Source organism: Homo sapiens, chromosome 2, assembly GCF_000001405.40.
Source record: "Homo sapiens chromosome 2, GRCh38.p14 Primary Assembly".
Taxonomy (NCBI): domain Eukaryota; kingdom Metazoa; phylum Chordata; class Mammalia; order Primates; family Hominidae; genus Homo; species Homo sapiens.
The window spans coordinates 137,152,302-137,164,920 of NC_000002.12; the positions used below are offsets into that span (position 1 = coordinate 137,152,302).

General features: G+C 39.9%; 1 protein-coding gene across 2 annotated transcripts in view; it reads left to right on the forward strand.

Annotated features, from left to right (window-relative positions):
* The window catches only part of THSD7B (thrombospondin type 1 domain containing 7B), a 912,174-nt gene that overhangs the window by 386,757 nt on the left and 512,798 nt on the right, over window positions 1-12,619 (forward strand). For both annotated transcript variants that reach the window (NM_001316349.2, XM_047445935.1), the window contains exon 6: window positions 7,912-8,067. In NM_001316349.2, the coding sequence (NP_001303278.1) occupies window positions 7,912-8,067 (156 nt within the window). The remainder of the gene's footprint in view (window positions 1-7,911; window positions 8,068-12,619) is intronic.

The window sequence follows — 12,619 nt, forward strand, 5'->3', positions numbered from 1 at the left end:
TATCTCATTTCACATATTTTTTGGAAGCAGACAAAATAGTCACTTATTTTTTCCTAGTTAATTATTACTATAACAGCTTACTTTTCTATTATAATTTTTCTTGCAAATACAAAATCATTGTATAGTGTAGTATTAAAGGATATGGAGATTTAAGAAGCCTGGAGTTTGTCACTTATTAGCCTTGTAATTTGAGACAAATAACTTACCTTCAGTTATCTCATCTGTAAAAATAGAAATGATAATTGTACGCACCTGAGTGGTTGTGATGAGTAAATGAGAAATCACATTAAAGCGATTAGCATAGCACCTAGAGCCAAGTGGGTTGTCAATGCCTATTAGCTATTAATACCAACATTAGTTAAATAGGCACTTGTGATCATTCCTGGGAAGACTTGCTTTCATTTAACTGTTGTCATAGTTTCTATGGAAAAGAAAATGAATTATAAGTTACAAAGTGCTGGGTGTGAAGAGGACTCTTGGACCTTTTGAAAGCTCCCCTTCCCTCACATTGCATATTTCTGCCCTTGAAATCTCTGGAAATAGCTCTTTCATTGTACCTGCCTCTCTGCCTTTTTACTTTTTCTCTTTTCTTGACCACTTCCCTATCTCTCACTTGCCGCCTTTCTCTTCTGTGTCATCAATAATGGTGCTTCTCACTTCATGAACTGTATAAGATGTCATTTAGATCAGCTCTTGTTCTTTCTATCTTCTCCATGCCCTTCTTTTATTTCTGAGCCAAAAGTCTGAGAAATAATCAGAAAATAAGTTTCAAAAGGGGGACAGAGGAGAGAACATATGATAATAGAAACATGAATATATGGCTGAAGGCTACTATATTTTTTTCCTTAATTATGTAATTGGTGGCTATTGACTTTGATTTCTTTCTAAAATTATATATGTGCTTCACTTGTTTTGCCTTTATTTTTCTCCTGAGGAGTGTTTTTCTATCTTTGCCTATAGTGCTGTTACTCTTTATCATTAGGAAAATCACTAGTTGATATTCATTTTCTAATTGGCTATATGAAATGAATGAAATTCAGAAAACTTTTTGACATGTGGCCAAATTTTACATAATTATTTCTAATTGCAGGAATTATTTTTATATATTAAATCTGCTGTGCATATACACACATCTTCCTGCCAAATTGTATTGCATGGTACTTTGCCAAGAGAGTCACAATATGGCTAAAATTAAGCTTTATTAGGTATAATAGGATGAGAAGTGATTTAATTCTTTAAGCTGCCTATAAGTTCTAGGAGACAGATTTTATTCTATTTACTAAGTTAAAAGACTGATTCATTGTTTTGCAAATCCCAGTGACAACAGTCAACTGAAACAATGCATGATGCTTCTTGAAGGAAAATGGCTTTATGGTTAAAATTGTAAAATTATTTATCTTTCCCCTTCCACCATTTGACTCCTTCAGTCTGTAGAAGAGGCCTATTTATTTTAGCAGGAGGTAGATTGAGTTTCTGCCAAGTCAGTGTACTCCCTAAATGAATATATCAAGGGCAATATTGTTTCTCAAAAATCATTTAGAAAGTAGCATTTTTACATAAGTAGGCTCTTTCATTAGTTTCAAATTAAATTTGAGCAATTGCTGGTGATTTTTGGTTGTTTCTTGAAAAGCCCATGGAATTGGGGAGTTCTGAGTCTTTGAGTGAGCATTTCCTTTCGGGTTTACAGTGCCTTCATTTGATTTGGAAAACTGAAATGACTGTAACTTCTTTATCTAACTTCTTTGAGGAGGTTGATGTTGTATTCTGGAAATCAAAATCATATTTAAAATTAACTGAAGATAGAATGTTTTATTTGTAGGGTTACTTAGGTACCCCTAAGGTAGAAAGCAGACAAAACAATTTAGGTTTTGGGGGTTCTTAGGAAGTAACAGTAGCTTTATTTTCTTTTAATCTCTACTTTTTTGAAAATGCTGGGGAAAAAAATTAGTATCTTGTGACGAATTCCTCTACCATCTGTAAGATACTTCTTTTTGTCCTAAGGGAAAGATGAACTCCATTATGCCTTGCCAGCATTACCTCAAACACTTTCTGAATTTTGAAAAAGACTGACTTGATTTTTTATCCAGTAATAGATATATTTAAAAACAAGAAAGCGCCAATGACTCTTATAGTACCTCTTTTTACTTTAAGCAAATATAACTTCCTGTATTTAAACTAAAGAGGGATACATGGTTATTAATTATAATTAATTAAATGCTATTATGCAATTCCATTTTAATTTCTTTTTGAGGAGTTTAAATGAACTGAAATTTAAATCTTACAAAATGGCTATCAATAGGGGTGGGAAAATGTATACTCATTGATTCTTTAGCATCTTATTTCTCGGTTAATTCAAATTAGTTTGGAGTAGAGTTTGATTTAATTTCAAAGAATGATACTCATTTTTCTTTACAATGGCAGTCACATACTAATAATCACAACAGGCATTTTTCCTCTTAATTACAATTCATTTTGAATGAATTTGTATGCTCATCTGAATTCACCATGTCATTAAGGAAAATGGTAAACTTTGTTCATATCTAGAATTAAGAACAGTTTTTTTTCCTTAACATTAAACATATCCCCTACCCAGCATATTTTTCCTCCTCTTAATTAACATTCTGTTCATGGAGGAATTCATTATTTAAGGTGACTTTGCAATCATTAGTAGCAGACTTTAACATTTCTTGTGAGACAGGTCAGTTTAATAATTTCATATTGCCAATGAAAATTCCAGTTTAGACACCAGCAAAATATTCAAAATATTAATGACTATTGCATATGTGCAATCACTTATAATACTATAATATTTTCCTTGGCATTTAGAAAGATGCCGCTAGGCAGTGATCCAGATTTGTCTGAGTTATATGTTATTTTGACTCTTTAACATTTTGTGACCATGAAGAGTCTCTGTGGGGATTAACATTGCTGTCTACCAAACCTAAATAGCCTATAAGACCTTGGATAATTGCTTACCTAGTCTGGCAGTTGGTCAGCCTAGGAATGGCAGAAGGCTCCAAGGTGACATGGTCTAAGAGGCAGCTGGAGGAAGTGGGATAGCACAGACCTGCTCCTAGGGCCTCATTGCATTAAGAGAAGACAGAGCTAATTAATAGAAATAAATTTGTTTCAGGCAGTAGTTTCAGAGAAAGGAGTGCAGGTGAATAGAAAAGCAGCAGTTCTTACTACAAACATCGTGGCTGGAGTTTGGCCAAAGAGAACTGAAGACTCAGTAGACAGTAAATTCCATAGATCACCCAACTTTAGGTGACCCAGGAAATGCCTTCACTCCACCCACTTCCTGGGATAAATGTATTTCAATATGAACAGCCACAAATTTTTAAAAAGTATGATAGTCATTTGAACTGGAGCAAATTTTGGTCTCACTGCCTCCTTGATGGGGACCATTTGGGAAAAGACTGGAGTTTTGCAGTAGCAATGAAGGAGGGGAAGGATTTGGATTTTATTTAAAGGTATAAAGGGTTTAAAGTGTTAAATTTATTTAAAGATTCTTGGATCTGTCATGTCACGTGTTGCCTCCAGTTCTGGTCACTGTGATTCATAAACAAAATATCCTTGGTAGAAATGACCACATCTGCGCTATCTGATGTTTTCATTCTATGGAAGGAAAACCAAGAAGGATAGACAGAGATGAGTTGGCCACTTGGGTAGAGGCTTAGCTCTTGCTTTGCTCTGTGCTTGCTGAATGAACTTGGAGAAACCACCCAAAGTCTTGGGAGCTTAGTTTTTCAGTAAAATTGATGAATTAAACTAAATCAGCTCTGAAGCTCACTCTAGCTCCGAAAGTCCTGTTGACTGTTGGAACATAGAAATATCCTGTGTTTTTACTCTTCTCTGGAAGATATGACTTGCTAAGTGGTCTGAAGCTGGTAAGTTCTTTGTGACTTACTCATGATTTATTTCTAGAACAAATTTAGCCTGGGGTGGGCTTAGTGGGTCTGTGATAGAGACAGGCTGACCCAAGCACATTGATTCAGTGTCTAAATGAAGCATCTTAGACTTGTCACCAGACACTGGAATAATTTATTGATATGGATTAAGATTCACTGTCCATCAAAACAGCAGGTGCTGAAGAGACATGACTACTTTGATAAATGGTCTCTCTCCTACCCCTGGTCCTCCAATATGTCACTTAATAGTCCCTGGGGAAATCCCTCCCTGTTCTTTTCCAGCAAACCATGTCCTTCTCTAATTTCAAATCTGAGGGTACCATTAGTTCTAATGTTCAACAGTCAACTAATTGACAGTTAAGTATTTATCAAAGGGGACTCAGGGGACTTAACCTCACAACCCCCATAATCCTCAACAGGCCTCCAAAAATAAGCCACATAAGCATAATATCTGTGGAGACACAGTGTCCTTGACAAACGCAGCTTCAGAACGTATTTCCCAGGCTTTTTACAGCTGCACTGCCAACCATAAGCCCTTCCCGCACAGACATGCTGGGAGCTTCAGATACACTGTAGTGCTTGCCTACTGTGTGCCTGAGAGTTGCTCCGGTTGATTGAGTACTTTGAACTGCAGGGCCCAACATCAAGTACAGAGGTTGTGGCAGCAGCTGTCAGCTGGGTCTTGGGGCTGAGGGGCTTAGAGTATCTTCTTAGTAATGAGAGAGATAGTCATGGCAAGGAAAAGAGGGCAGTAATACAGCTTTCCAGTCTTATTAGGATTTGTGGACCCATATACAATTAATATGAATTCTTGCTGTAATATGGACTCTATGAAGACAGAAACCTGGTATGTTTTACTCACCATTGTAGCTTAAGCACCTAACACTGTGTTAACAAATGGTGTGATGCAGGTCCACTGTGCACTGGTCACCAACTTGTCTGAGTCCAGTGGGAGCAAATACACTCATATGCAACAAGTTATATGAAGCAGATTTATTACTCACAGATTGGCAGCAAGGGACAACAGACGCCTACGATTCATTGTGAGCTGGTGCCCCACAGTACAGAAAGCTGCCCATGGGGTCTCCACTGTGCATATCCCACTTGCACTGCAGATGAGGGACACTGAGAAGTGGCCCATCTTGGGTTTTATACCTTGGGGGATACCTGACATGCTGGGCTAAAAATGTTGAAGGACATCTTGTTCTTATGGGGGACTGGAGCAAAGCCGGGGCTGTTTTGGCTGGCTTCCCCCTTATCTCTGGATGTTGCATTTTCAGCTCATTCTACAGTTATTTTTGGGAGCTACACACAACAAAGAGGGAAAACTGTATCAGTCCAAGGCCACCCAGAGAAGTGTCCTATGCAGGGAAGGTACTTAATATAGGTTGAATGACAAATACCGAGGTCATATAGGGCTGTGGTTAAGAAGACAAACTCAGACCCAGATGCCTAGATCCCAATCCCAGGTCCACTGCTCACTAGCTGGGAATGTGAATAAGTGAACATTTCTGTGCCTCAGTTTCCTTATTTTAAAACTAGAGAGAATAATAACAACATATATCTCAAAGGGAAGTTATGCAGATTAAATGAATTAATGTTGATAAGTGGGTTATAACTAGTGTCTGGCATGCATTATAAATGCTTATTAAACATCAGCTTACATGGCCCACTTTCTTTTCCATCATTACCAAGGTTTTGTTTTTGGAACTAAAGTTTGAGTTTGTGAGAACACATGCTAACATGTATAAGACCAGATTGAAATACACTTCTGCCTTAAGCCATCCAGCTATGCAGCTTTCTATTTATACAATGCTCTGGCACATCTCTTTCATCAGCTCTGTTAAAATACTGCTTGATTTACCCTTTTAGACTGAGAGCTCCTTGTAGCCAGACACTACTCAAGAGTGCCTGATTTAGATGGATGCTCAGTGGTTTGAAACGAATGCATGATTTACTCAATGAATGACTGTCTTGTGTGTGTCTTGATTTCCTCAACCCTGGGGATGAATCACAAACCCCTTCCCCATCTCTTGGGTTCCCCTTTACACACAGTTCATCAGTCTCATCTGTGCATCCCCAGTTCCGGTCACTCCAGCTTCTCATCCTATTGTTCCCATTTCAAGCACAATCTTTGTTTGATTGCCACCTCTTCTCAGCCTCCCTGGGCAATCCCTTTACATTCCCCTAATACCTGTTCTCTCTTCCTTTCTCTGTCCCCTCCACATGGCTTGCAAACTGTAACATTTACATTGGCAATCTTGCTTTGTACTTGCCCTTTATTTTAAGTCATATCAAATCCTTTTGGTAAACTGGAAAAGAATTAATTGCAAATAAAACATTATTATTTTGTTTCGCAGCCTCTCTTTTCCTTTCACCCTCATAAGCAGCTCAGGTTGCCTCATTGTTCATTAGAAATACTTTTTCCCCATGGGTTGCAACTTTGTCATGATGGTATTTTTTTATTTTGCTGCTATTTTGGTGTTCGAAGTTCTGCTGGTCAGTGCTGAAATTTATTTTCACTCTTACCAGATTTGACTCTTACACGTGTTAAGGGTAAGGCAGAAAGTAGATGGTATGATTTACAACTCACTCCTCTTACTGCAGTGTCCACCTTGGAAGCATTTCTAGTGTGCTCAACTGAATAGAAATGACATATCAGAAATATTTAGACAATAGTACAAACTAGTGTGTAAAATAACATTTTCGGAACTTTAACCATTTGTTAAAAAAAACTCTAGATTGCTCCAAAGCCTTCCTAGTTTAGGGTCTCTCTGTGCAAGAGTAATTACTTAATGCATTTGTCTGGTCCTTTAGAGTGTCATCTCCAAGTATTACTATCCTAGCTCCTATAAAATTACAGTCTTCACAAGGATTGGGATCTTATCTTCTCCTTCTTCTGTGTATTCTCATGGTGCCTAGAAAGAGTCTCCTGGCGGCCAGGCATGGTGGCTCACGTGTGTAATCCCAGCACTTTGGGAGGCTGATGAAGGCAGATTGCTTGAGCCCAGGGGTCTCAGAACAGCCTAGGGAACATAGGGAGACCTTCTCTCTACAAAAAGCAATAGAAAAAATTAGCCGATCATGGTGACATTGCACCAGTGGTCCCAGCTACTCAGGAGGCTGAGGTAGGAAGATCGATTAAGTTGATGCTACAGTGAGCTATGATGGTACCACTGCACTCCAGCCTGGGTGACAGGGTGAAACCCTGTCTCAAAAAAAAATTAATTAATTAATTAATTAAATTTAAAAGAGCAAAAAATAAAAAGAAAAAAAAAGCATCTGCATACAGAGGACACATGGTGAACACTGTTGTTGGAAACATGGTTGCTGCGACCTGAAGTGACCTCCATGTGGGCCCACTCTGGGTGCAGGTGCACACCAGGAAGAGACAGAAGCTACTAGTCATTTTCCAAGAGGACATTTGGGCCTCTGTGTAGCCTCACAAATGAAACTGATTTCCAAGGGCCAGTTCTGCAGTCACAGATTCTGAATTTTCTTCTTATCCTAAGTACGATTTTTCTTGTGTATCTTTGCCAGCTCCCTCGCTCAGGGGAGTCGCAGCAGTAAATTGGTTATGCTAAACACTCCACCTGAGGGCTTCAATCTGGATTTTTTTCACAGTGACCTAGTCATTTATATAGATGAGATAGACTCATCTTGAAACTTCACAAAGCCATTTAATTTTTTAAAAAGTCATAACTCTAGATAATTTGTATCTATGATATTTCCAGTTCTCTCTTAGATTCCCAGTGAATACCCTGCAAAGCAGGAATTTCAAGCGCATGCACTTTGCCTCTGTCTTCTTTGCCTTTTCTCAACCAAAATACTAGTCATGTGAAGCTAAACAACACATATTAGAAAGTGTTGATGTTTTCTTTGCATATGTTCTTTTTAACTATAATGTTTTATTTGCAAGACAGGCATGCAAATAAAGGCAGAAGCAATGCTAAGGATGTCCAGAGAATGTGACATGGTCCGTTATCTTTTTGTCCCTCAGTCTCTAGACCTGTGGAAAAGGCATTATGTGTGGGACCCGCCCCGTTGCCCTCTCAGCTCTGCAATATCCCTTGCTCTACGGACTGCATAGTATCTTCCTGGTCAGCCTGGGGCCTGTGCATCCATGAAAACTGTCATGATCCTCAGGGGAAAAAAGGTGAGTGCCTTGTTTGCATGCGCTTCATTTGCTGTCAGCGTACAAACATTTATTCTGGTAGCTAAGTCACTGATTAAGCCTGCTTAAGACAATATTTGTTTGTAAAATTTAGATAACCAGCTCAAGCCTAACGGTATTCAGTTTTAGGGAGGCAACTGGGACATTTCTGTGGAGTGCACAATCTCACCTTGATTTACCTTCAGTTAGACTCATAGCTGACTACTACTCTATTTGGTATAACTTCATCTTTTGTTTTGTTTTGTTTTGTTTTCCAAGATGAGGTCTTGCTCTGTCACCCAGGCTGGAGTGCAATGGCACGATCTTGGCTCACTGCAATCTCTGCCTCCTGGGTTCAAACTATTCTCCGGACTCAGCCTCCCAAGTAGCTGGGATTACAGGTGCTTGCAACCAAGCCCTGCTAATTTTTGTATTTTTAGTAGAGATGGGGTTTCACCATGTTTTCCAGGCTGGTCTCGAACTCCTGACCTCGTGATCTGCCCACGTCAGTCTCCTAAAGTGCTGGGATTACAGGCGTGAGCCACTGTGCCTGGCCACTTCATGTTTTTTATATATAATGGTTATATGGGGGAAATTGGACATGATTTCCACGCTCACATCTGAAAAGAAATGTTTCGCAAATCTATATAATTCTTTTCAGATTTCCACATTTAACATTTGATGTTATATTTTAGATTTTTGCAAGGGTCATTATGTATATTGTTTAGTTTCTGATATTGATCTTGGGCTTAAGGAAAAATCTTCAACCTTTATATTCCTGTTTATTTTTGTAGGCCTCTATGGTCTAGTTTTCTTTAGTTTGTAATCAAAATACGTGTCTTCATCTTCAAAAGTTTACTCCTAGTGATATCTTGCCTTCTCTTTCATTGACCCTTTAGTTTCTATTGATACTGTGTTCCCTTAAATGACAGTACTAAAAAAAATATTTCCTTTACCAAGAGAAATGAGATCCAAGGACATTCCAGAAATTAGGTTCTAGTTATTACATGCAAAGCAAGAATCCATGGCCAAACACTTGATGCTAGCATGCTTGCATACCTAGCACCCTGCTCACTGCTTACTGCTACATTCACTTGAAAACCCACATTTCAGTAATTCCTAGAGTGCTCATATACACACATGTGCACACCCAGACTCACTTACCCCTGTTCCTGGGCTTTTCCTTTCATTCTGACTCTTGTTCTAAGGTAGAAAGGAAGATGTGTATTGGCTTTCAGGCAGGTGGAAGCTAACTTTCATTCTTTTATCAAACCATAGAAATCTGGATGTCAAAGAAGCCTGGAGAGGGCCTTGGGCAATTCTCTTATTTGACATGTAACCAGAATGTCCCCCACGCCTCCGCAGCTTGTGGACACAAATAAGTTTCCATTTATACTAATACCTATAGTTTGCAGTCTTATGATCTACACATATATAGTCAGTTGCATGTAGTTGTATACGAGATTCTTCAGGGTGATTTACATATTTTTAGAACAGTCATCTTATGTTTAGCCTGTGCTGCTCCTGTTTAGGTCACTGTCCAGAAAATCATGTGAGGTTGGACCAAGGCTCCTCCAGTCACTGTGGCTGTGACATCACTTTGCTGCATGAAGTGCTGCCTTCATCTACTTTCAAAGCTGTAGAACCACATCAGACCAAGTAGATCTGGGAGACTCTTGGTTATATTACTTGGGAGACTAATGGTTATAGGTGACAGAAACCCAATTGATAACCAGCCTAAGTCAGAAGAGACTGGTTTGAGCTCATGTAGCTGAAATGAGAAGAGAGGATAGGGCTGCATCCAAGAGTATAAACAGGCCAATGGGTCTCCGTCTTGTTTTCTAATTCTTTCTTTACCTTTACATTTCTCTCTCTCTCCATCTCTTGTGTCTGCTTTTCTCTATATTAGGTTCAATTTAAGGTAGTACATAAAGCAGAAAGAAATGTCTTTTCCATTGGTCCCCGGAAGAGTCCTGGAGTTGAATCTCATTGGCTGTTTTATGTCATGTCCTCATTCCTGAACCAACTACTCTGACTGGAGGATGTGGGGTTTACATGTTCAAATCCTGGACATGTGGCCACCACTGGGATCAGGAGAGGGACAGTTCCCTTCAAACTTCAAAGACAGAGAATGGGGAAATGTGACTCCCTCAGAAAAAAAATGAGGTACTGGTACTGCAGGCAGGTAGAAGCAGTTCTGAGGGTCAGATTTTATAGGTGCTTGTTAAATAGATGTTTACTAAATGCTTTCTCCCCTTCGTTCTGGGCCATGGATTCTCTATGGCAATTCAAAGAATGCTTTTGCCTGCTTTCTTTCTTTTTCTTTCCTTTCTTTCCTTCCTCCCTCCCTCCCTTCCTTCCTTTCTTCCTCCCTTTCCCTTTTCCTTTCACTTTCCATTTCCCTTTCCCCTTCTTTTGAGTTTCACTCTTGTTGCCCAGGCTGGAGTGCAATGGCGTGATCTTGGCTCACCACAACCTCTGCCTCCTGGGTTCAAGCAATTCTCCTGCCTCAGCCTCCCGAGTAGCTGGGATTGCAGGCATGCGCCACCATGTCTGATTAATTTTTGTGTTTTTAGTAGAGACGGGGTTTCTCCATGTTGATCAGGCTGGTTGCCCTAATTCTGTGTTGTGTTTTTTTGTCACTTGAGCTCCAATTTTCACAAAACTCCTGTTAAAAACTGGCTCCTTGAACTTTCAGTTTTATTTTTCCGGATAATTCGGAACTGGCCCATGGAACTTCAGACCCCCTCCCTTGGCCCCATTCCGCCAAGTAACATTTTTTGCCAAACTTTATCCTCATTGGCCTCTATTTCTCTATAGTAAAAGTCAACCTGTGCAGATATACCCTGGTCCATCATTCATAAGACACCACTTGCTGTAGGTTGAATGGTATGCCCCCAAAAAGATGTGTTCAAATCCCAACCCCTGGTACATATGAGTAGGATGTTATTTGGAAATAGGATTATTTCAGAAGTAATGAAGTTAAGATTAGGTCATACTGGATTAAGGTAGGCTCTATTCCAGTGACTGGTGTTCTTGCAAGAAGAGGAAAATTTGGGCATAGTGACATACACAGAGAGGAGAGTGCCATGTGAGGACATTGAGACACAGAAGAAGAGAGGCCACATGAAGATGAAGGCAGACATTGGGAGTAATGTGTTCCAAGCCAAGGAGCACCGTGGAGAACCACAACCACCAGAAGCTAGGAGAGAGGCATGGCACAGATTCTTCTGTAAAGCCTCCAGAGGGAGCATGTGGAGCATGGCCCTGCTGACACCTTGATTTCAGGCTTCCAGCCTGCAGAACTCTGAAGATGATACATTTCTATTGATTTAAGCTACCCAATTTCCAGTACTTAGTTATGACAGCTCTAGAAACTAATACACTGCCCAACTTTGAATCAGCATTTAGGCTCAACAAGGATACAGCACTTCACAAAATGACAACACCAAAGTGTCAAGAAGTAAGGTAATTTGTCTAAAGTCCCATGGTAATTTAATGATGGCCATGTTGGCAGTAAGGATCTGGTTTCCTGTCTCTTTAGTCCAGTGTCCCTCCAAACCCTAAGCTTCCTTAGTTGATTTTCTCCATCAGCCTAAAGAAGTTTGGATCAAAGTACAAGCTCAGTTCTGAGAAGAGAAGCCATCTGCCCATCATGCACCACATTGGTCAGTGTGAGCCATTATGCCTAAGAGCAAATCATTGAGCAGATGCAGGAGACAAGTTATGGGGCATGGGATGTATCTAGTGCCAGTACGTTGTCATTGGATGAAGGGGGAAAAGAGGCTGCAGTTGTGGGAGGGCAGGAGGTTGTGCTGAGAGTAGCTTAAGAGCACTAGATAACCAGAGGTGGGGAGTGTTTTGCCCCAATCAATACTTTTTTCAAAGGGAGACTCAGCCTTTGAAAAGGGCTTAAGGCATCATCACTGGCCATCAGAGAAATGCAAATCAAAACCACAATGAGATACCATCTCACGCCAGTTAGAATGGCGATCATTAAAAAGTCAGGAAACAACAGGTGCTGGAGAGGATGTGGAGAAATAGGAACACTTTTACACTGTTGGTGGGATTGTAAACTAGTTCAACCATTGTGGAAGACACTGTGGCGATTCCTCAAGGATCTGGAGCTAGAAATACCATTTGACCCAGCCATCCCATTACTGGGTATATACCCAAAGGATTATAAATCATGCTGCTATAAAGACCCATGCACACATATGTTTGTTGTGGCACTACTCACAATAGCAAATACTTGGAACCAACCCAAATGTCCAACAATGATAGACTGGATTAAGAAAATGGGGCACATATACACCATAGAATACTATGCAGCCATAAAAAAGGGTGAATTCATATCCTTTGTAGGGACATGGATGAAGCTGGAAACCATCATTCTCAGCAAACTATCGCAAGGACAAAAAACCAAACACCGCATATTCTCACTCATAGGTGGGAATTGAACAATGAGAACACTTGGACACAGGAAGGGGAACATCACACACCGGGGCCTGTCGTGGGGTGGGGGAGAGGGGAGGAATGGCATTAGGAGATATAC